General features: G+C 38.3%; 1 protein-coding gene across 5 annotated transcripts; it reads right to left on the reverse strand.

Annotated features, from left to right (window-relative positions):
- Window positions 1-425: 425 nt before the first annotated feature.
- Window positions 426-24,681, reverse strand: LOC102724813 (protein FRG1B). 5 transcript variants are annotated; one of them, XM_011546191.4, is made up of 5 exons: window positions 24,604-24,681; window positions 23,766-23,870; window positions 20,376-20,464; window positions 19,283-19,393; window positions 426-1,646 (listed from the first exon to the last, which is right to left on the reverse strand). In XM_011546191.4, the coding sequence occupies exons 2-5, from the start codon at window positions 23,862-23,864 to the stop codon at window positions 1,571-1,573; spliced, it is 375 nt and encodes a 124-aa protein (XP_011544493.1). In that variant the 5' UTR covers window positions 23,865-23,870; window positions 24,604-24,681; the 3' UTR covers window positions 426-1,570. The 5 variants fall into 5 exon arrangements, with proteins under 5 accessions (XP_011544493.1, XP_047298754.1, XP_047298755.1 ...); XM_047442798.1 differs by lacking the exon at window positions 426-1,646 and adding an exon at window positions 2,702-2,864; XM_047442799.1 differs by lacking the exon at window positions 426-1,646 and adding an exon at window positions 2,722-2,826 and having other exon boundaries at window positions 24,604-24,680.
- Between the last annotated feature and the right edge of the window lie 565 nt (window positions 24,682-25,246).

Here is a 25,246-nt window from a genome sequence, read left to right on the forward strand (position 1 = left end):
TAAAAATGTATGCATTACATAATTAAGAGAGTGGGAGGGGATTTTTTTAAAAAGGCAATTCCTACTTGGGTTCCTTCGTGTTCACCCCATTGGCAAAGAAGCTAGTCTTGTCCTAGAATTCTGGGAATGGCTGCAGACAAAACAAACACTGAGCAGACGAAATTCCCAGTAATTTACTCGTCACACATACTCAGCCAGGGGGATGACGCTGCATTTATGCAGGTCTACCCAGGCTTGCACTCTGGAACAGAGGGTGTGGGAGGCAGGCTTGGTAGAAATCAGAGGGTGGGGTAACCCCTGGTCCCTTCATGGATGTGCTTGAATTCAGAGTTTTGCAGTCTGGTGGGGGCATGAAAGCCATTAGGCTGAGAACATGGTGGGGTGCTGCATGAAATTTTAGGTGTCACAATACAATTAACCCCTGATGCTTTAACATCAGACATTTATTTTCATGATGACTAATATTTTGAGAGGCTGAGAGAAAGCTGCTGAGACATTGTAATAAGTGCTTAGGGACATGAGAAATTAGGAAGGCCACAGTTATGAGTAATGTAATGTGGAAACCGATGCAAATCTACTGCCCCCATTTATTTAGCAGGAGGCAGGAAAAGTGATCTGGGGTCTCTGGCAGCACAAGCCTGTTCGTAAATATTTGGGTGACGTCATGCATTTCCCATGCATTGGTTTAGAGATCTGGGGTCTCTGGCAGCACAAGCGTGTTCATAAATATTTGGGTGACGTCATGCATCCCCCATGCATTGGTTTTCATATCTCCAGTGAGTTGTTGGGCAATTCTGATATTACTGATCCACACGCAGCAGGCAGATTCCTGTACGAAGCTACCTCCACCCCTTGGACTGTCCAGGACTGAATGGTTGTCAAAAATGTGAACTCCTTGATGTCCAGTAAAGGCAACTGAGGGAACTGTGTAGCACTGGTGTAAAAAGTGCAATTTCCTAAGAAGCATGAACTTAAGAGTAATCAAAGCCTGTGGCAACAGTGGAACCCAGCAGGGCATCCACTCGCTGCTTTGTAACTTAAATAGGAATTCTTCGAGGAGCTCAGTCTATCTCTCAACTAAAGCAGCTGCCTGCAGCCTATAGGGGCAGTGGAAGCCCTACTGGACACTTTCACAAGCCTAGCACTGTGTTTTCTGTTGAAATGTTGCCTTGGTCACCATCAGTAGTGTCTGGAACTCTCTGTAGGGGATAAGGAGTGTCCCTGTGAGATCTGTACTGTGTCCTTGGTTAAAAAAAAGGCATCTGTTACCTTGACTGTATTCTGACTATCCATGAGGCAAGAAGTGTCTTTAATTCAATGGGGAGGGAAGGTGGACAATTCTTGGCAATTGCCAAAAATTTGTAAAAATGTACAAATGGGGCTAATTGTTGGCCCAGCATCAGTGCTGAGATGACCACCTCAAGTTTGGCCAGTTGTGCTGAAGCTTTGGTGTCATCCTTTATCAGGGACATCCTAGCTAAGCGAGGTAAGGCAGCAGCATCCCACTGAGCTCCATCACGTCAGATGATGGCATCCATTTAGAAGGTGGACGAACTTCACTGCTGGTCACTCAGTCGATCCCAAGGGGCCTTGGAGATGGGTGACTTCCAGCAACACAGACTGAGGATGAAGGAGGCCAGTGTTTCCTGCAGATGAGAATGGCAGGGGGTCCAGGTTTGACTCCATCCTGATTCAAGGAGGTCTCTGCAGCTGTGCCAAGGCTGTGGGGTGCTGCTTCCCAAGGCCTGATGGCCAGATGGGCATGAAGCCTCAAGGACATGGATGCAGAGCCCTCTGTTTCCAGAGAGTCCAGCATGTGGTCAGCAATCGCTGCACTGATGCTGTACAGAACAGGGTCAAAAGGGGCAGGTTTGTTTTTTACATGAGAAGCCCATGGACTACTTATGGCCACCATATGCAACCCAGATACTTCAGGAGGCATAGGAAGAGGTTGCTAAAGCATCCACAGTGTGTTCTCTGAGGGAATTCATAGCAGCACCTGCTAATTTAAATTCGGACAGATTCCAGACTTGGAGGAGGCTTCATTCAAGGTGGGTCAGTTTGCCAATGACAGCATCAGTGAGATTAAGTAAGATTTGTAAATAAGAAATATATTGTCACCTGAACCCCAAGTAAAGAATTAAAAGGCTGGGCACAGTGGCTCACACCTGTAATCCCAGAACTTTGGGAGGCAGAGGCAAGAGGATCGCTTCACCACAGGAGTTTGAGACCAGCCTGGGTAACATAGCGAGACCTTTTCTCTACAAAAATATAAACAAAATTAGCTGAGTGTCATGGCACACAACTGAAGTCCTAGCTACTTGGAAGGCTGAGATGGGAGAACTGCTTGAGCTCAGGAGGTCGAGGCTGCAGTGAGTGGAAACCATGCCACTTCATGCCAGCCTGGGTGACAGAGCAAGACTGTGCCTCCAAAAAACAAAACACAAATTAAAGAATATTAGGCTTGTATTAACATTGTGGATGCTGAGAGGATGAATAACTATTTTTTGAAAGTCTCAGGAGTAGGGCAGCCCCATATTTACCAAGGAAATTTCAGGAATTGAAGCAAAGTGGCAGGGCCTTGCACTACTGTGTTGGGAAAAGTCCATTCCCTTTGTGTAAGTCTCCTTGTATCTGTGTGTCCTTAGTGTGTAAAATGAATTTTCTCTGAGAATGTCATCAGTATAATGTCACACCTGTGCTCCTGTAGAAAGGTGGTTGCAGTGAGATGTTGTCTGTGAAGATTGCATGCAATGACAAGGCTGCCGAGGCACTCCGTGGGTCGCCTGGTCCCTTCAGAGATGAAGGCAGGCTATGACTGAGACTCTGTTAAAATAGGCACCAGAAGAACATGGTAGCCAAATCTGTAACAACAAAATATTTATCAGTTGCATGAATATATATAGGTTTATTATAAGGAATTGGCTCATGTGGTTATGGAGGCTAAGAAGTCCCAGGACCTGCAGTCAGCAAACTGGAGAACCAGGACTGCCAATGTTGGAGTTCCAGTCCAAACCTAAAGTCCTGAGAACCAGGAAAGCTGATGGCATAAGTTACAGTCCACGTCTGACTTCAAAGGCGAGAGAAGATCTACGTCTCAGCTCTGAAATCATCAAAGAGAGTGAATTCTCTCTTCCTCTACCCTTGTGTTTTATTTGGGTTTTAATGGATTGAATGAGGTCCACTCACACTGGGGATGGCAACTACTTTACTAAGTCTACATATTCAAATGTTCGTCTCATCAAGGAACACCCTCACAGACACATCCACAGTGTTTAACCAAATATCTAGGCAACCCAACTTGGCAAATAAAATTAACCATCATAAGGTGAAAGAGGTATACGATCTGAAGAGAAACCAGGGATGCAGGATGGTTAAACATCTGCAAGTCAATAAATGTGATACACCATATAAATAGAATTAAAAACAAAAATCACATGATCCTCTCAATACATGCAGAAAAAGGATTTGACAAAATACATCATCCCTTTATGCCTAAAACCCTCAGCAAAATTGACATAGAAAAAGCATTTGACAAAATCCAGAATCCCTTTATGATTAAAACCCTTAGCAAAATCAACATCGTAGGGACATACCTTAAGGTAATAAAAGCCATATATGACAAACACACAGCCAACATTATATGGAATGGGGAAAAGTTGAAAGCATTCCCCCTGAGAACTGGAATAAGACAATGATGTCAACTTTCACCACTTCTATTCAACATAGTACTAGAAGTCCTCGCCAGAGCAATCAGATAAGAGAAATAAAGGGCATCCAAATCGGTAAAGAGGAAGTCGAACTGTCACTCTTTGCTGATGACATGATCGTATACCTAGAAAACCCTAAAGACTCATCCCAAAAGCTACTAGAACTGGTAAATGAATTCAGCAAAGTTTCAGGATACAAAACTAATGTACAAAAGTCAGTGGCTCTGCTATACAGTAATAGTGAACAAGCTGAGAATTAAATAAAAAACTCACCCCCTTTTACAATAGTTGCAATAAAAACCTTAGGAATATTATAATTCCTATAATTAAAATAGTATATTCCTATAATTGTCAATTGCATGCAATCTTTGCAGACAAAATCTTAATTATATCCGGAATACTTAACCAAAGAGACAAAAGACCTCTACAAGGAAAACTACAAAACACTGCTGATAGAAATCATAGATGCAAAGAAATGGAAACATATCCCATGCTCACGGATGGGTAAAATCAATATTGTGAAAATACCATACTGCCAAAAGCAATCTACAAACTCAATGCAATCCCCATTAAAGTACCAACATCAGTCTTCACAGAACTACAAAAATTCACACGGAACTAAAAAAGACATAGAAGGGAAATACCTTAAGATAGTAAAAGCCTAGAACCAAAAAAGAGTCTGTATAGCCAAAGCAAGACTAAGCAAAAAGAACAAATCTAGAAGCCGATTTCAAACTATACTAGAAGGCCATAGTCACCAATACAGCATGGTACTGGTATAAAAATAGCCATAAAGATCAATGGAACATAATAGAGAACACAGAAATAAAGCCAAATACTTACAGTCATTTAATATTCAACAAAACAAACAAAAACATAAAGCAGAGAAAGAAAACCCTATTCAACAAATGGTGCTGAGATAAATGGCAAGCCACACATAGAAGAATGAAAGTGGATGCTCATTTTTCACCCTATTCAAAAATCAACTCAAGATGGTTCAAGGACTTAAATCTAATACCTGAAACCATAAAAATTCTAGAAGACGACATTGGAAAAAACCTTCTAGACACTGGCTTAGGCAAAGACTTCATGACCAATAACCCAAAAAGCAAATGCAACTAAAACAAAGATAAATAGATGAGACTTAATTAAACTAAAAGGCTTCTGCACAGTAAGAGAAATAGCAGAGTAAACAGATAACCTACAGAGTGGGAGAAAATCTTCTCAATCTGTACTTCTGATTAAAGGACTAACACCCAGAATCTGCAAGGAACTCAAACAAACCAGGAAGAAAAACATCCCATCAAAAAGTGGGCTATGGACATGAACAGACAATTCTCAAAAGAAGATAAGCAACTAGCCAACAAACATGAAAAAAATGCTCAGCATAACTAATTATCAGGGAAATGCAAATCAAAACCACAATACAATATGATACCCCTTCACTCCTGTAAGAATGGAAATAATCAAAAAATCAAAAACTAATAGATGTTGGCATGGATGTGTTAAAAAGGGAACACTTTTACACTTTTTGGAGGGAATGTGAACTAGTACAACAGCTATGGAAAACAGTGAGGAGATTTCCAAAGAAGTAAAAGCAGATCTAACATTTGATCCAGTAATTCCACTCCTGGATATCTACTCAGAGGAAAATAAGTCATTATATGAAAAAGATACTTTCACACGCATGTTTATAGCAGCACAATATGCAGTTAGAAGAATTTGAAACCAGCCTAAATGCCCATCAATCAGTAAGTGGATAAAGAAAATGTGGTATAAATATTTACCACATGGAATACTACTCAGCCGTAAGATGGAATGAAATAATGCATTCACAGCAACCTGGATGAAACTGGACACCATTATTCTAAGTGAAGCAACTTAGGAATGGAAAACCAAACATTGTATGTTCTCATTCATAAGTGAGACCTAAGCTATGAGGATGCAAAGGCATAAGAATGATACAATGGTCTTTGGGGACTCAGGGAAAGGCTGGGAGTGGTGGGGTGGGTGCAGTGAGGGATAAAACACTACACAATGGGTACAGTGTACACTGCTTGGGTGATGGGTGCACCACAAATCTCAGAAAACGCCACTAAACAACTTATTCCTGTAACCAAAAACCACCTGTTTCCCCAAAACCTATTGAAATAAAAAGAATACCATCATATTCCCCAAAAACCTATTGAAATAAAAAAAAATTAACCACAATATTAGGCATTGGGTACGAGGGCCTGAATGGAAGGGAACACTGCAGTCACATTACAGTAATCCACTGTGAAACACCATTTATTATTTGCAGGTTTAAGAACAGGCCAAATTCTACTGCTAAACATTGAAGCAATGAGGATTATCACCCCTTCACTAATTAATTAGGTCTTATATAATAAGTTTTATTTATTTGAAGTCATGTTGTAATTTATGTTGGATCATATTTGATAATTTATCAAGATGGGGAGGCTAGGCACGATGGCTCACACCTGTAATCCCAGCACTTTGGGAGGCCGAGGCAGGAAGATTGCTTGAGCCCAGAAGTTAGAGACCAGCCTAGGCAACATAGCAAGACTCCACTTCTATATTTTTTTTAATTGGCTGTGCTGGTACATGCCTGTAATCCCAGCTACTTGGAAGGCTAAAATAGGAGGATTGCTTGAGCCCAGTAGTTCAAGGCAGCAGTGAGCTATGAATGTGCCACCGCACTTCATTCAGCCTGGGTAATGGAGCAAGACCCCATCTCTAAAAAAAATGAAAAATTAAAAATAAATCAAATTAAAAAAAAAACAGGAGAGGGAGTTCTGTAAGGTTACATTTGGTGAAGTCAATGTGTAAGTTCAAATGATTTAATATCAATCTGTTACTCATTGGGTCAGAGCATCCAGGTCCCCTATGGACAAAGGCTTCTATGACTATGGGAAATTTAGTCAAGGTAACAAATGTGAGGCATAACTATGTGTCCTCTATTCTATATGCAGTTACTCTGCTAGGATTAGGGGACGCAATGTTTAAATTTAGTGAAATCTCAGGTATAACAAAGTTTGAGCTCCAGTATTGATTAAGTTTTTGAAGGTATGCCAATTGGTAGATTTCAGCAGATGTTAAAATTGATTCGAATATATGCTGGAGAGTTACAAATACCAATCAGCACCCTTTTACCTTTGGACTGTATAAGTTATTTTAGAAAATAGTACATTTCCAATTAGGTCAGATGATAGAATTCCGTTTTAATTTAAATTTTGTTTTTGTGCATATCCAAGTTCCTTCCCTTCCTTCCTTCCCTCCTTCCTTCCATCTTTCCTTCCTTCCTTCCCTCTTTCCTTCCTTCCCTCTTTCCTTTTCTTCCTTCCCTCACTTCCCTCTTTCCTTCCTTCCCTCCCTCCCCCCTTCCTTCCCTCTCTCCTTCCTTCTTTCCTTCCTTCCTTCCTTCCTGCCCTCCTTCTCTCTCTCCTTCCTTCATTCCTTCCTTCCCTCTCTCCTTCCTTCCTTCCATCCCTCCCTCCCTCCCTACTTCCTTCCTTCCCTCCTTTCTTCCCTCTCCTTCCTTCCCTCCTTCCTTTCTTCCCTCTCTCTCATTTTTTTGCCACTGGATATGGCGAAGGTTGTTCTCTTTCCCACTCATATTTATAATTTCTTTCTTTGAAACAGCCCCAAATCAGTATCTTCAGAGTTAAGGTCCTCCTTGTGAGCAGATTGTGTGGTTTAAGAACCCTAGACTTAAGTCAGGTTTGGATTTCTCCCTTCTCTCTGCCTCAGGGGTACCACAGGTGTCTTTTCCTATAACCCTGGGAATTAGATCTTTGTTGTGGCAGAATCATAAGTCACAGAGCGATGCAGCACAACCAGCCCACAATTCAGGGGACAGTGGATTGAAATCATCTTCTGCTACGGCTCCATCTGGTTCTTCCAGGACTTCCCTCCCCCCCTTTTTTTTCCTTTTGGGGTGTTGAAACTTTAGTGGTATATACATTGCCTCATAATCAGTAAAAACTCCCCTTATCCCACATCATGGATTAAAGAGTATATTGCCAGGAGCCCTTCACTCTTCTAGAAGGACTTTATTTGATAGGTCCTTTTTCCATGGTTTAGAATAAAAGAGGTAATAGCTAGAAATATCTCCCTCATAATAGGCTCTACAGCAAATTCTACTTTAAAGGCTGTTGTTGATGTCTTTAACTGTGGCTGCCCTTAATGTTTTTGTCATCCATAGACAATTGTCTCATTTTGGTCCTCTTTAAATGATGGTTTTATAATCAGCTATAAAATTTAACAGATGCCCTTAAATGCAGGATTCTGATTAATAACCCTGGAGATTGTGACATTAGAATAGAGGGAAAACTTTCAAATAGAAGAGTGAATGATGTTTGGGCTACTTTGGACTGTATTTTTATAAATATGTTATTAATATGTGTTCCAAAATTATTGGAAACTTCTATAGAAATGTAATCTCCAGTGTCGGAGATGGGGCCTGCTGGGAGGTGGCTGGTCCATGGGAGCAGTTTCCAGTGGTTCCCAGTGTTGGAGACGGGGCCTGCCGGAAGGTGGCTGGTCCACAGGAGCAGCCTCCGGTGGTTCCCACTGTCGGAGATGGGGCCTGCTGCGAGGTGGCTGGTCCATGGGAGCAGTTTCTAATGGTTAACCATAATCCCCCTAGCGCTGCTCTTGTGATAGAGTTCTCATGAGATCTTGTTGTTTAAAGTGTGTAGGACCTTCCCCCTCTCTCTCTTCCTTCTGCTCTTGCTTTCCCTTCCACCATGATTGTTAAGTGTCCTGAGGCCTCCCCAGAAGCTGAGCAGATGTCAGCATCATGCTTGCTGTACAGGCTGTGGAACTGTGAGCCAATTTTCAGTACTCTTGTTTTCATTTTATTTTATTTTTTAAAATTTTATTTTAAATTCCAGGATAAATGTGCAGAACATGCAGGTTTGTTACGTAGGTAAACGTGCACTATGATGATTTGCTGTACCTATCAACCCACAGCCTAGGTGCCTAGGTATTAAGCCCCACATGCGTTAGCTCTTCCTGATGCTCTTCCTCCCCATCCCCAATGACAGGCCCCAGTGTGTGTTGTTCCCCTCCCTGTGTCCAGGTGTTCTCATTATTCAGCTCCCACTTATGAGTGAGAACATGTGGTGTTTGGTCTTCTGTTCCTGTATTAGTTTGCTAAAGATGATGGTTTCCAGATTCATTCATGTCCCTGCAAAAGACATGATCTCATTCCTTTTTATGGCTGCATAGTACTCCATGGCGTGTATGTACCACATTTTCTTTATCCAGTCTATCACTGATGGGCATTTGGATTGATTCCATGTTTTTGCTAATGAGAATAGTGCTGCTATAAACATATGCGTGCATGCATCTTTATAATAGAATGATTTATAGTCCTTTGGATATATACCCAGTAATGGGATTTCTGGGTCAAATGGTATTTCTGGTTCTAGATCCTTGCAGAATTGCCAAACTGTCTTCCACAATGATTAACATTCCTATCAACAGTGTAAAAGTGTTTATTTCTCCACCGCTTTTCCAGCAACTGTTGTTTCTTGACTTTTTTTTTAAATTATACTTTAAGGTTTAGGTTACATGTGCACAATGTGCAGGTTTGTTACATATGTATACATGTGTCATGTTGGTGTCCTGCACCCATTAACTCGTCACTTAGCATTAGGTATATCGCCTAAAGCAATCCCTCCTCACTCCCCCCACCATAAAACAGTCCCCAGTGAGTGATGTTCCCCTTTCTGTGTCCATGTGTTCTCATTGTTCAATTCCCACCTATGAGTGAGAACATGCGGTATTTGGTTTTTTGTCCTTGTGATAGTTTGCTGAGAATGATGGTTTCCAGTTTCATCCACGTCCCTACAAAGGACATGAACTCTTCATTTTTTTCTCCTGCATAGAATACCATGGTGTATATGTGCCACATTTTCTTAATCCAGTCTATCATTGTTGGACATTTGGGTTGGTTCCAAGTCTTTGCTATTGCGAATACTGCCGCAATAAATATACGTGTGTATGTGTCTTTATAGCAGCATGATTTATAGTCCTTTGGGTATATACCCAGTAATGGAATGGCTGGGTCAAATGGTATTTCTAGTTCTAAATCCCTGACGAATTGCCACACTGACTTCCACAATGGTTGAACACGTTTACAGTCCCACCAACAGTGTAAAAGTTTTCCTGTTTCTCCACATCCTCTCCAGCACCTGTTGTTTCCTGACTTTTTAATGATCGCCATTTTAACCAGTGTGAGACGATATCTCATTGTGGTTTTGATTTGCATTTCTCTGACGGCCAGTGATGATGAGCATTTTTTCATGTGTTTTTTGGCTGCATAAATGTCTTCTTTTGAGAAGTGTCTGTTCATATGCTTTGCCCACTTTTTGATGGGGTTGTTTGTTTTTTTCTTGTAAATTTGTTTGAGTTCATTGTAGATTCTGGATATTAGTCCTTTGTCAGATGAGCAGGTTGTGAAAATTTTCTCCCATTCTGCAGGTTGCCTGTTCACTCTGATGGTAGTTTCTTTTGCTGTGCAGAAGCTCTTTAGTTTCATTAGATCCCATTTGTCAATTTTGTCTTTTGTTGCCATTGCTTTTGGTGTTTTAGACATGAAGTCCTTGCCCATGCCTATGTCCTGAATGGTAATGCCTAGGTTTTCTTCTAGGGTTTTTATGGTTTTAGGTCTAACATGTAAGTCTTTAATCCATCTTGAATTAATTTTTGTATAAGGTGTAAGGAAGGGATCCAGTTTCAGCTTTCTACATATGGCTAGCCAGTTTTCCTAGCACCATTTATTAAATAGGGAATCCTTTCCCCATTGCTTGTTTTTCTCAGGTTTGTCAAAGATCAGATGGTTGTAGATATGTAGCATTTTTTCTGAGGGCTCTGTTCTGTTCCATTGATCTATATCTCTGTTTGGGTACCAGTACCATGCTGGTTTTGTTACTGTAGCCTTATAGCATAGTTTGAAGTCAGGTAGCGTGATGCCTCCAGCTTTGTTCTTTTGGCTTAGGATTGACTTGGCAATGCGGCCTCTTTTTTGGTTCCATATGAACTTTAAAGTAGTTTTTTCCATTTCTGTGAAGAAAGTCATTGGTATCTTGATGGGGATGGCATTGAATCTATAAATTACCTTGGGCAGTATGGCCATTTTCACGATATTGATTCTGCCTACCCATGAACATGGAATGTTCTTCCGTTTGTTTGCATCCTCTTTTATTTCATTGAGCAATGGTTTGTAGTTCTCCTTGAAGAGGTCCTTCGCCTCCCTTGAAAGTTGGATTCCTAGGTATTTTATTCTTTGAAGTAATTTTGAATGGGAGTTCCCTCATGATTTGGCTGTTTTTCTGTTATTGGTGTATAAGAATGCTTGTGATTTTTGTACATTGATTTTGTATCCTGAGACTTTGCTGAAGTTGCTTTTCAGCTTAAGGAGATTTTGGGCTGAGACAATGGGGTTTTCTAGATATACAATCATGTCGTCTGCAAACAGGGACAATTTGACTTCCTCTTTTCCTAATTGAATACCATTTATTTCCTTCTCCTGCCTAATTGCCCTGGCCAGAACTTCCAACACTATGTTGAATAGGAGTTGTGAGAGAGGGCATCCCAGTCTTGTGTCAGTTTTCAAAGGGAATGCTTCCAGTTTTTGTCCATTTAGTATGATATTGGCTGTGGATTTGTCATAGATAGCTCTTATTATTATGAGATATGTCTCATCAATACCTAATTTATTGAGAGTTTTTAGCATGAAGTTTTGTTGAATTTTGCCAAAGGCCTTTTCTGCATCTATTGAGATAATCATGTGGTTTTTGTCTTTGGTTCTGTTTATATGCTGGATTACATTTATTGATTTGCATATGTTGAACCAGCCTTGCATCTAAGAGATGAAGCCCACTTGATCATGGTGGATAAGCTTTTTGATGTGCTGCTGGATTCGGTTTGCCAGTATTTTATTGAGGATTTTTGCATCAATGTTCATAAAGGATATTGGTCTAAAATTCTCTGTTTTGGTTGTATCTCTGCCAGGCTTTGGTATCACGATGATGCTGGCCTCATAAAATGAGTTAGGGAGGATTCCCTCTTTTTCTATTGATTGGAATAGTTTCAGAAGGAATGGTACCATCTCCTCCTTGTACCTCTGGTAGAATTCAGCTGTGAGTCCATCTGGTCCTGGACTTTTTTTGGATGGTAAGCTATTGATTATTGCCACAATTTCAGAGCCTTTTATTGGTCTGTTCAGAGATTCAACTTCTTTCTGGTTTAGTCTTGGGAGGATGTATGTGTCAAGGAATTTATCCATTTCTTCTAGATTTTCTAGTTTATTTGCATACAGGTGTTTTTAGTATTCTCTGATGGTAGTTTGTATTTCTGTGGGATTGGTCATGATATCCCCTTTATCATTTTTTATTGCGCTTATTTGATTCTTCTCTCTTTTCTTCTTTATTAGTCTTGCTAGTGGTCTATCGATTTTGTTGATCTTTTCAAAATACCAGCTCCTGGATTACTTAATTTTTTGAAGGGTTTTTCATGTCTCTATTTCCTTCAGTTCTTCCCTGATTTTAGTTATTTCTTGCCTTCTGCTAGCTTTTGAATGTGTTTGCTCTTGCTTTTCTAGTTCTTTTAATTGTGATGTTAAGGTGTCAGTTTTGGATCTTTCTTGCTTTCTCTTGTGGGTATTCAGTGCTATAAATTTCCCTCTACACACTGCTTTGAATGTGTCCCAGTGATTCTGTTGTGTTGTGTATTTATTTGTTTAAGGGAGAGTCTTGCTCTGTCGCCCAGGCTGGAGTACAGTGGCTCGATCTCAGTTCACTGCAACCTCCACTTCCCAGGTTCAAGCGATTCTCCTGCCTCAGCCTCCTGATTGGCTGGGATTACAGGCGCCTGCCACCACACCCAGCTAAGTTTTGTATTTTTAGTAGAGATGAGGTTTCACCATGTTGGCCAGGCTTGTCTCAAACTCCTGGCCTCAAGTGATCCACCCGCCTCAGCCTCCCAAAGTGCTGGGATTACAGGTGTGAGCCACCGTGCCCAGCCTGTTTCTTGTATTTGATGATGAAAATCTGTTATTGACAGTAAGAGCATGGGCGCTTAGGTTAACAACAGGGTGTGAGAAAAGCAGCAGTGAAATTTTGGTCCTCAAAACAATTGATGTTCTCATTTTGAAATTCATCTTATTGTTTGTCCGAACTGGCAGCCGTATGTGGGAAATTTCAGTTTTGCATATTTTCAGATTATTTTCATTTTTACATCAGAGATTTTGAACAGATGCTATACAAAAGTATTCATTTATTTATTCAACAAAATTTAGTGCTGGTTAAGTTGCAAGCATTTAGTGAACTTCATGCTGTACACGCCTCAGATACTTTTGTGAATGTAATGGCAACATCAAAAACTGCCCTTATGCACCTTATAAACCTTTAATTTCAAGGCATGTTGATAAGTGAGCATCTGCTATAACATTCTTTCATTGTCATTTAATTAACCATTATTTGGGTATACCTTATATTAAAGCTGATTATTAAAAACTGGAAAATATTTAACACATCTTTATCTTGCCTTTTTCCTTAACATATGTAGATCAAGGGAGTCACTGAGAATCAATTTTAGGGATAGTTATAAAAATCTTAACTTTGCAACTATAACTTTGTCCTCAATGTAATAACTGGAAAAAATAATTTACGTTTCAAAGGCTTTAATCTTTGTATTTTTTTGAAAAGGAGCCTTCACCGAGATTCTTTAAAATTCTTGCTCTGTCCTACAGTAGAGACTGATGGACTCATGGTTATGGTCCTCTAATGGATCTGTACCACCTCAGTTCTCTGATTGTCGCCCTCCTGTGATGAAAATCAAAGTTTATTTTCAATTCATGTCTAGGATGTAGTATGTTCTTGTTGGGAAAAAATGATGTTTCTTGAGAAATAAGTGCCTTCAGTATCACTGTGTGTCAGTTAATAAATATGACTAATATCTACTTTTACCAGTGGCTGCAATTTGATCCTTAAACAGCCATCTTTAAATTATACTTTTTCTTTGGTTAAAGAAAAGTAATTATAATAGACATTAATTATTTTTACATAATTTTCTTATGTGGACACCCATTCTTAGAACTAAAACTTTCAGATGTTTATATTACAAGTACAATTATTATTTATTATTATTAATGTCAGTAGCCAAATGTAATCAACTCTCTTCCTTTTACTTCCTTTTTTGAATCAAAATGTTACACTTTTACAAGCAAGAGCAACAGCTCTATATCTGGATCACTGCAGTGCCTAGAAGTTACAACAGCACAATTTACAAATCCAAATTTCCAGGAAGTCTCTGCATATACCTCTAGTACAAAAGATGCTTCAGAGACTAGAGGGTCAGAGGGCAAAGAGAGGAAATATTCAACTCCCAGTTCAGGTCAAAAGGGAAGAAAGCCTGGTGTTGAAAGAAATCCAAGAATGACTGTATCTGCAACTCGCTCCTTTCTGTAAAGTATTCATGGTGTTTTACTTAAAATATTTGCTCTTATGATGGTCAATAATATTAATAGTTATGCTTTGTAAAAGAATTTATTCTTTACTTATAATTAATGGATCATTCTAAGTTATTATATGTTTAGTTGAATAGTAAGATGATGTGAAAGATTTGTTGCCTGTTAAATGTTTCTGGGATCTGTGCTTTATTTTTATATTATGATCTGTGCTTCCAAAGTTGAGCTGTAATTTTATTGTTTATACAAATGTAGAATAAACCTTAAGTTTGGGGAGAAAAATAAAAGCTAGAGTTTTCCTTTCAGCTATAGAACAGACATTTATTTCTATAAATGTTCTTTATGTAGCTTTCCTAGTTCCACATTTAAAAAGATAAATACGGGATCTACACAGGTCTCAGTAAATAATAGTTCTTGATTAATAATGCATTTATTATAAACCTTGAAGTTTAAAGTAGAATTTTGCTCAGCTCATATCTTTTATGGTCAGGCTGCTATAATTATGTAATACCCAGTTAAATTTCAATTTCAGATAAACAAGGAATAATATTTTATAATACGCATGTCCCAAATACTGCATGGGATATACTTACACTGAAAAAAGTATTTGTTTATCTGAAATTTCAAATAAACTGGGCATGCTATATTTTCTGTGGCAACCTGCTTTATAGTGAACAGAGTAAGTCAGCTGAATTTTAGAATACTTAACCCTAACCTGGTGTTCTAGGTCTTTCCTTTTTGTAAGTATTATTATTATTTGGAGTCAGGGTCATGGTCCATCACTCAGGCTGGAGTGCAGTGGCACAATCACAGTGCCCTGCAGCCTTGAGCTTCTGGGCTCAAGTGATTCTGGCACCTCTGCCTTTGCCTCCCAAGTTGCAAGTACCACAGGTACGTGGGCCCAGCTATTTTTTTTTTTTTTTTTCTCATAGAGACAGGGTCTCAGGCTGGTCTGGAACTCCTGGGCTCAAGCAATCCTCCCACCTCTGCCTTCACTTCCCAAATAGCTGAGACCACAGGCACACGCCACCACCATACCTAGCTTATTTTTTTATTGGTTGGTGCAAGAGTAATTGTGGGTTTTGCCATTGAAAGTAATGGCAAAACCCGCAATTACTCTTTGCACCACCCTAATAATTTTTTGTGGAGACAGGGTCTTGTCCTGTTGTCTAGGCTGTTTTCCAACTCCTGGGCTCGAGTGACCCTCCTGCCTTGGCCTCTAAAAGTTCTGGAATTACAGATGGGAGCCACTGCACCAAGTTACTTTGTATAATTTTTAACATAAACATAAATATTTTGAGAAATATAAATGTTAAAACCATTGAAGGAAAATATATTGTGAAGTATACAATAGAAAAAAAACAATCAAACAAAATACAACAAATACAACATAAAATTATCAAAATTTTCAGAGGAACAAAACAAAATCTAGTTTTACAATATTCAGAATTCAATACCATTATATCAAACATATAAAGAAACATATTCAAAGAAAAATGCAATCAATAGAGACTGACCTCGAGATAACCCAGATGTTGGAATTAGTGTGGATTTTTAAAGTAGTTATTGTAATTCTTACTAAAATCAAAACCCCAAAAACCCATAAAATAAATGAATAGGAAATCACAGCAGAGAAGAAGAAACTACAATAATAACAAAGGCTCAAGTGGAAATTCTAGAAGTGAGAAAGTTTTCAAAATTAAAAAATAAGAATCAGTTGTGCTCAGGAGAAGCTTGGAGGTGGTAAAGAGTCAATGAATCTTAAAATACAATTGAAATGATTCAATCTCAAAAATGTGAGCAGTCATAGGTTGGGGTGAGGGAGCTTTCCTTTGGTTAGTGCTTTTAGGTAGTCTTGGTTTTGATAAGATTACTAGACTGATCCGTCAGGGGCATGCTAAGCCAGAGTTTATCTTGGTTTCGGTAGTGCTTTAAGCAAAACTCATGATATTCTTGTGTACAAGATGGAAGAAGAGTGGACCAGATGACAATATTTAGATGCAGTCATTCTTAACCTCCGTTGCTCTCCCAGTGGTCTAGCTGGGGTTTGTATAAAGTGGAATGGGAGGAATAGGGAAGGAGCCCCCACCTACCCTCTCCCCTTGTCCACTTGTCCTCCTCCACTAGTGGATAAAGTCCACGGGAACAGGTAAGTTATTTTAAATCTGTATTTTCTGTTGTCAAGATCTGTAATCAGTTCTGCTCGCTGGACTGGGGAGAGGAACCAAGGGAACATGAGGGTGAACGGGTTGACATGGAGTCCAGGAACACACTGTGCCTACATGCAGAATGTTTGTGCCAGGAAAGCCAGTCAGCAGGCAGATGGTCTCAGATACCAAGCTAGTGTTGGGAAGCAAGATTCAGTCTCCTGAAGGCGTGTTCTTCATTCTGTGGTTTGTATCACTTGCTTCAGAATGACCTAGAGTACTTGTTAAAATGAAAATTTTGAGCCCAATCCTAGACCTCCTAAGCCTGCATCTCTACGGATGGGTCTCAGTAGTCGATATTGGAAACGTGCAGGTCCCTAGGAGATACTTATGCATATAGATTTGAACTGTTGTGTTTAAGGGTTAGGGAGCTGGCAAAAGCAAGAAATAGGCCAAGCCCTTGGGTGGGAAGGCTCCATAACCTTGGCACTGTTAGCATTCTGTGCGGAAGAGGATTCTGCAACGTGCTTCGCAGCATCCCTAGCCTCTACTCTCTAACACCGTATTCCAGTTGGGAAAACCAAAAATGTTCCCTGGGAGGCAAAATAGTCACCAGTTGGGAACTGGAACCACTGCTTTGAGGGATCAGAGTGGTTACTTTGTTCCCAATCCAAGGATCAGCACACACGATGAGAGAAAGTCCAGCTATTGGAACTGGAGTGCCAAGTTGAAGCTAGACCTACAAAAAAAGCTCCAAAAGCTCCTTTATAGGGCTGATCCCATGCCTCGGCTACTTAGCTTGTACAGATGCCATGTAACTCCAGATTTGGTGACAAAAGGAATTTAAAGGCTAGAACTAGATAGGGTCTTTCAAGTTAGGCCAGCACACAACGTGGACTTTTGACATCATCCAGATGCGTGAACCAACCTCAATCCTGAGGCAGAATTTCCCATGGCATCTGATACACAGCCTGGATTTGGAGCACTCACTGGGATTAGATGCCACGGGAATATTGTGTTTAGGAACTCTGAAAGAGACAGGCTTCAACAAAGCAGACCTAAGCAACACTTAGCGTCTGAACTTCTTTATCAGCTTCCATTCCAGCCCACGAGGACAAAAGCATCACATACATATCCACTGTGGCAAACCTGTCCTCAGTAGGGAGTTTTCCCAGTACTACTCTCCCCTCTTTTCTGAGACTACTTGCTCCTTTGTAATGTTTCTACTTTCTGTCCCACTCCCTAATAGATGATTTGTCCTCTGTCCGGCCCCCTAGTTCTGATATTTGGATTGTCTGCGATCTGGATATTACTTAGGAGGTAGAATCAAAGCCTTGTTGATTGGATTGGGAGTTTTTAACTTCCTATTAAAGGCACTGATTAAGCATCTATTGTATAAAGTAAGTAAGATTATGATCCAGTAAGAAAGATTCCACAAGTAGCGCAGGAAGAATTGGTTTCTACTACACTTCATGCTTCAGGACCAGAAATCCAGAAAAAAATTCTGTGGTATGTTAAGTGTGTACTGTAAGTTTCATTTCCATGTGAAAAATTGTAGTTAGCTAAAAAGTACATCCATGAAGAATCCTGATTAAACTTGTTTAATCCTGGTTAAACTAGGTACTACCTAAATAATAATTTCACAACAACTCAAGAACTCTGTAAAAGCATTTCCTCTGAATATTTTATTCAGAAAAAAAACACAAAAAGATAAGGCAGAAATAAAAATCCCAGTCATTTGCAGTATCTGTCGGCTTTCAATTTGGTTCTCTTTTTTAAACAAAGAAAAATAGTAAAATTAATCTATGTAAAACATGCCATATATATTCAACTGCTACTAAATATAAAAAGTTTTAAAACTGTATGTTCAATTTTGGTTACTGTATTACCACAACACTTATATTAAAATATGTATACTTTCAAATTTGGTTTCTATAAAAAATGGATTCTAATCATATAAAAGTTATTTCCTAATATTCAATAAATGTCGCCTAAGGGCTTTTTCAATCCAAATAGCAATTTTAATTATTCTGGAATTTAAAGGTGCTTTAAATTTCCATTTAATAGGGTGAGAATACTGTATTATTACGAGTGATAAAAGTTACAGGACATAGAGGTTATTCCGTTTTAGAGTCCACATCCTGATTATATTTTATATCCTCTTCTTGATTTCTTACAACTAGATACATACTCATTTGCTCAGCTGGAAAAAATTCTTAACATTATTTACTGACTTTAGGTATGAACTCTACCAGCTAGTTAATAGAAAATATGTAATTAAAGATTGCCTTTATCAAGTAATGTAAAAAAAGCGTAAGAGTAACTTTGCAACATAGGACTTGAATGAGCGGCTGGTGATTATCAAAATCTGGCACTTAATTGATTTATACTTGTACACTCACAGCTAAACGTCTCTACCTGTTTTTCTATGTTGTAAATCTAGGACATTACTTATCTACATAGGAACAATAATAAATATTAATAGTGTGCTATGATAAACATCCTGCACTCTTCCAAATCTTACAATAAAACTGCTTCAATTTCACTTGTTTAGTTTTTATACTTAGTTTTTTAGTTGATCTATGCTTATTTTAAGGAACCTGAACTACTCTAACAGAATCCACATAATTTTTATATTAGTCAAACTGCTTCTTTCTAACTCTGGTTCTAATAGTTATAAAAAGATAATGATAAATTTATGAAGTAGATACAGTCAAACCTGAATTTCTTAAAATATATACTTAGAATCGGTTATAATTTTTAGATATTCTTTCTTGACAGTCTTTTCCCAAACTCATGATGTCCTCTCTAGGTAATATTGCCACACTCATAAATTAGAAATAAAGACAAAAATGTGAAAACTACAGTAATTTAAGAGAATATAGGTTTTCTACATGTCATTTCTATTGGCTACTGAAAATAGTGAAAATAAGTAAATAAATAGCTACCTGTCCAGAAGCGTCTCATGCAAAAATCCATCTTTCTGAGCCTTTTTAAGAATTTTACTATCTTCTTTACTTATTTTAGGTTTGTGGTCTTGGAAGCTCTGAAATTTCTTTCTGCAAAGAAAATGTCTTCATTGAAAAATACCTCAAACTCTGATTATACATATTTACTATTAAATTTGTAAATACTGTTAATTTCTTTTTCACTTATTAAAAAGGTCTAATTGTAGGCCAGGCACAGTGGCTCATGCCAGCAATCCCAGCACTTTGGGAGGCCAAGGCAGGCGGATCACTCGAGGTCAGGAATTCGAGAACAGCCTGGCCAACATGGTGAAACCCCATCTCTACTAAAAATACAAAAATTAGCCGAGTGCAGTGGTGCGCGCCTGTAGTCCCAGCTACTCGGGAGGCTGAGGCAGGAGAATCACATGAACCTGGGAGGCGGAGGATACGATGAGCCAAGATCATGGCACTGCACTCCAGTCTGGGGGACAGAGTGAGACTCTGTCTTGGGGGAGAAAAAAAAAAGTCTAATTGTATTTTTTTTAATAAGCTGGAGATTTTGAACATCAAAGATGACCTTCATAACCTCTCAAGAGGAGGGCCACTCATTGACTGGGTAGCAGAAGGCCCCACTTCTATTAAGGCCTGCTGGCTGGAGTCCCCTGTGTCCTGGCCATAGCACAGCCTTTGACAAACATCAGGCCCATTCTATGAATGAATAGAGAGATTGACTAACCCGAGTGACTACCTTTGGGAGCTGGTAGGATGATTAGGAAAACTGAACCCTCAAGAAGAGAAAAGCATTTAGCTCAGTGCTCTGTCCTAGAGGCTACACTGTGTTGCCTCTTCTTGTCCATCAGTTTTCATTTTTCAGACAGGGTCTTGTTCTGTCACTCAGGCTGGAATGCAGTGGTGATCAGAGCTCACTGCAGCCTTGAACTCCTGGGCTCAATCCTCATGTCTCAGCCTTCCATGTAGCTGGGTCTACAGGCATGCATCACCATTCCCAGGTAATTAGGTAATTTATTTTGAAAGCACTTTGAGAAGCACTTCACTGTCAAATCTGTAGGTCTAAAAGGAAAAGCATACATACACATAATTGATTTCATATTGTTTTACATTTCCTTTGTCTTCTGGAATGTCATCTTTTTTCTTGGTTTCTCTTTCAGCACAGGATCTAATCTAGATATTGGAAAACAGAATCCAATGGGTTATATGTTTATCTTCCACCTTCCACACTTTACGCATCACATAAGAACATTCTAGATGATTTCTTATGCAGAAGAAAAAATTAACTGAGCAACTATATTCAGAAAAAGACAGGTTCTGGCTATGTGTTTTTACTTCATATATATAATCTATATGAGTAAGTGCTATCACATGCTTTCTCCACAGCCCTTGTGTCAGAAACACTACAAACAAAATTATTTCAGGAACATTTTACATATCAGATCCTGCTAAGCAATAAGGAAATCATTAATTTAATTTTGTCCTCCAAGTGAATACACTGGGATCAAATTATCCCTAGTAGACAAGTGTTCATTTGATCAGATTAAAAGCTTAATAGCTATTTTACATTGCACAGAGTATTACCAAAGTATTAAAACTTTTAACATTACACAACTTGTTTTTAATTAATTGGAACCCACCTCTTTTACTAGCTTCTTATATCCTCCTAAGTTTGGATAGATGTTTACTATCACATGTCATAAGTTAATTAATCTGCATTCAACAATTAGGATCGCCCACAGAACAGGCAATTGGCAATGGTAAGGACTCATGTCTCCTAAGGGATCTCTGTGGCCAGAGTCCAGTTCCAGGGCTGCTTAGAAAGTGATGACAAATAACGTGTTTGTGCCAATGACATCTTTGTGACAGTTTTGATTACAGGGGTCCCAGACCTGAAAACATTCCCTGCTAGGGCCTGTAGCACAATGCTACCTTTAGTAAGAGGGGTCTGTGTTCTGGTAGACAAGGCAAGGTCATAAAGGTGAAGGGCTGACAGAGATTAGGACAGTCTGCAATTAAATGGTACAAAAAGAGTCCTAAATAATCACTGTTCAGAGCTCCCAAGTACTTGACTAACCAAAAAGACCCAGAAAACTTTGTATTTCATCTGAAAATTGCTTTAAATCATGAAAAATGCAATCTTTGTGTATCTTTGTATAAGTGCAAAACACTGCACATATATTTGCAATTGTTGCCTTCAGTAACACTTTTGTGATGATATCCAGATGAAAAATAATTTAAACATGATATAATAAAATATAAATAAATAAAATTAAATGTAAGTCACAAACCCATCTGCATTTCCCCAATGACCTGTTTCCTGAGAAGCAATGTGCTATGAAATACTGAGAGTGGCCTCTGGAGTCAGCTGGGCCTGGGTACACATCCTGTCTTACCACACCTTGAAATCACTGTGATTTCCATGAACTGACTGACAAAAACCACAAGGATGTAAGGAGGGTCAGAGGCTGTCTTCCTGTCTGTAAGGCTGAGTTCACATCCACCTCACAGGAGCATTATGGAAATTCAAGACTACAACGCATGTGCTGGATGCATGCAAAGAAAAAATATAACATTTCACTTCTCTAACTGTAAGAAAATACCTACATTTTAGATTGAATTTGTTTGAGCTTTAGATTTGAAATTATCTGAAATCAAGACTATTCTAAAAAGAAAATCAAACATATGACCAGAAATCTAACATGAAACACGTACAGAGAATTGATAGATGCTTTTAAATTACACTGGAAGTAGAGAAAAATGTAACATAAATTTTTATGCTCTAATTATAAGAATGAAGGGCATTTTAGAAAAGGCATTTGCCCCCTCTCTTAGACCCTTCCACTCTGGCCCCCACAATGTCTTACAGAGCAAATCTGGTTCAGACTGGATGCAACCTGTGATTCCCAACAGAGACAAACAAAGTAAGGTTCTGGATGCTCAGTACTGGGATGGAATGCCAAGACACAGAAAAACCATGTGTCAAGAAGGGGGGAGTTATTCTTTAGACGCATCCTGGTATATGTTTATCATTAAAGATCAGTGTCTTTGCTCAGTACTACGATGGAATGCCAAGACACAGAAAAACCATGTGTCAAGAAGGGGGGAGTTATTCTTTAGACACATCCTGGTATATGCATATCATTAAAGATCAGTGGCTTTTGTGAGTCTAAAAAATTAATCCTTAAATGTTTTCGTCAAGTTCCAGTTAACTACCTGATTTATCTAGGTTATATTAACAGTATTATTTGGAATTTCACCTTGATATGAAGATGTCTGTGTAACTTTTACAATGATGTAAAACAAAGAGTAGGATTAGGGAGGGCACAGGCCACTGGTGCAATGGATAACACATCTGACTATGGATGAGGGAATTTAGCCTGGAATAAGGAACTTTTATTTCCAGATTAGTGATGCACATGAATTTTAAAAATAAATAAAAACCATGTTTTATGTGATTCATGTTTCTCCTAATGCAAAGAAGACAGGTACTATTAATAAAAATATTTTTAAAATGTAAGGGCTAAGGCCCCAGAAGTTCTGCTATGATTTTTTATGTTTCATAGAGTGATTATCATCACAGAAGCTCAAGCATTACATAAATACAAACGCGTATACCCCCACCTGGTAATTCTGCTTCTGGAAATTTATCTTCAGGTCCACCCGCACATCTATAAATTGATGCATATTCAATGTTATGTACTGCAGCACTGTTTATAAGAGCAAAAGACTGGAAACAGCCTAAATTTCCATCTACAAAAGACTAAATAAATTAAGGTACATCCCTAAAATGGAATTTTATGTGGCTGTTAAAAAAGAGAGAGAGAGAAAGAGAGGAAAAGCAAGACAAAGAGAAAACTTTCTACATTGAAACTAATAGTAGAAAGCTCTCCAAGATACAATTTTAAGGAAAAAAAAAATCAAAGTCGAGAAGACTATAGAGGAGGTTGTCTTTAGTGTAAAACAGTTGAAAATTATAAATATATTCATATGTTTATAAAGAAACTTTAGGAGGCTATAAAAAAACAAAACAAAGTGAACGAGGAACAGGAGCTGGGACACAGGTGAGTAAGATGCATGTCAGGCATGTATCTTCATCTTTATATGCTTTTATTTAAAAATGTTGGACCACGTGTACATGTTATCTATTTAAAAAATCAGATTTTAAAATACAAGCAAGAAAACAAGAAAATGAAAGCTTAAAAAGAGCATGTGGAACTACCAGAAAAAGATACTAATCCATGGAGATAATGGCAAGGTAGCTCCTAGATGCACTGATTTCTCTAACACATTGTATAAACAAGCCATCAACTATGGGATTTATAATTTAAAATGAGTCTATTTGAAACACCACATTATAAAAAGCTATTAACTAAATCTTTAAAGTGACAGTAAATGATGACTTAACATTTTAAAGAGATACAGTCACATCGCATGTGTGAATGCAGTCATCTGTATAAAATGTCACCATTACCTTGATCATTTCTTCTTCTCCTGCTGTTTTACTTTTTGCTTCTATGTCCCCTGCTTCATTACATCTAATAAAGCAGCTATCTGAGGCCAACAAAGCCATTTTCCCCTAAGTGAAACAAAATAACAAAATAGCCATGAGGATACTTCTTGTGGAAGAAACATTAAGTGTTTAGACTGAATTAATTTTTCCTCCCTGATTTAAAAATCACAGAAAAGAACTTAGAGAAAAACCTGAAAAATATAATACAAGAACATATAGAAAAGGAAACCAAAATCACCTTCCATTTTACTATTCAAAGATTACCACAAAAAACATTTGTAATGTGTCTTCCTAGTAGGACTAAATTCTACTTAGATGAGGTAGGATTGCTTCCTTTCTAAAAGATCTACTGAAGATAAAACTGATTTAGTTCTGTTTGGAAAATTAACTTTAAAGACAAGAACATAATTATGAATGCATACTTTATTCAAATATTAACATTTTAAATAAAATTTATTTTCTTCACAATTAGAAAACATGAAAAGGTATATACAATGTCTTTGGTATTTTGAATTTAAGAATCAATGTCTGAAGAACTTTTGTGTGTGAAAATAAATATTCATATACATGTTTAGTTGTTTAATGTTTGATGTATTACACTGCTTTCTATTAAACAAAACTTTAAAAACTGATTTTCTTGTGTATCTAAATCTGGGTTACAAATTTGGTTAGCTTAACTCCCGTAACAAATATAACGTTTATTTATAACTTGTATTTGGTTGATTCTTTTGGAAAACTTGGAATACCATAACATTTAGACAAAATATTTATAAATACAATGATTACAAAATATGTTAACCTTATATCACATCCAGTTAAAAACGTGCTGATAACATGGATTTAATTTCTTAGTCAAGTCTCAAGGGCTGGGTGTTCTCTCATCTGGATGGCTCCTGGTGAGCTCTGGAACATGGCAGTGTGGTCCAAGGTGATTTAAACCTCTGCCACAGATTATTCAGCTGAGTCCTTTTTGAAATAGTTTTAAGACCCTCTTTCATTTAAATTTAAATTTTTGAAACTTAGTGTCCTTCCTAAAAATAAAATGAAATGAACTTTCCTAAAGTGTTGTATTATTAGTACTATCTAAGTCATCATCCTGGCCTTATGAAATAATGGCATTTTCTACTGGTGGAACTTTTATTAGAAACATCTCATCACAACTAGTAGGATCATCTCAAAGGGGTTGCAACACATTAACAGGTAATGAAATCAATGCAGTGTTTCCTGAACGGTATTGGGTGGGCTGGGGGGAAAAGGAATACACACAGACACACAGAGGAAGGGGTAAAAGAGAATAAGAAATATCAAGGTGCATAACACATGGATAAGTAAGTATTGTTAAGTACAATTCTTGCTTCAGTTATGCATATGTGTGTGCTGGGCTGCAATGTAAAAATGCATTTCTCAATGGATTGGGTCAAAACAGTTTTCAAGTCACTGAC

This window comes from Homo sapiens (assembly GCF_000001405.40).
Source record: "Homo sapiens chromosome 9 unlocalized genomic scaffold, GRCh38.p14 Primary Assembly HSCHR9_UNLOCALIZED_CTG4".
In the NCBI taxonomy this organism is placed as follows: Eukaryota; Metazoa; Chordata; class Mammalia; order Primates; family Hominidae; genus Homo; species Homo sapiens.

Excerpts from the sequence above, each read along its gene's own strand:
- LOC102724813 (XM_011546191.4), bottom strand. The coding sequence starts at position 23,864 with ATGGCTTTGTTGGCCTCAGATAGCTGCTTTATTAGATGTAATGAAGCA. Across the intron at positions 20,465-23,765 it reads GAGAAGAAGAAATGATCAAG|ATTAGATCCTGTGCTGAAAG; the intron begins GTAATGGTGACA and ends TCCAATATCTAG. Across the intron at positions 1,647-19,282 it reads CATGAGACGCTTCTGGACAG|GAAACACTGGCCTCCTTCAT; the intron begins GTAGCTATTTAT and ends TCTCATCTGCAG.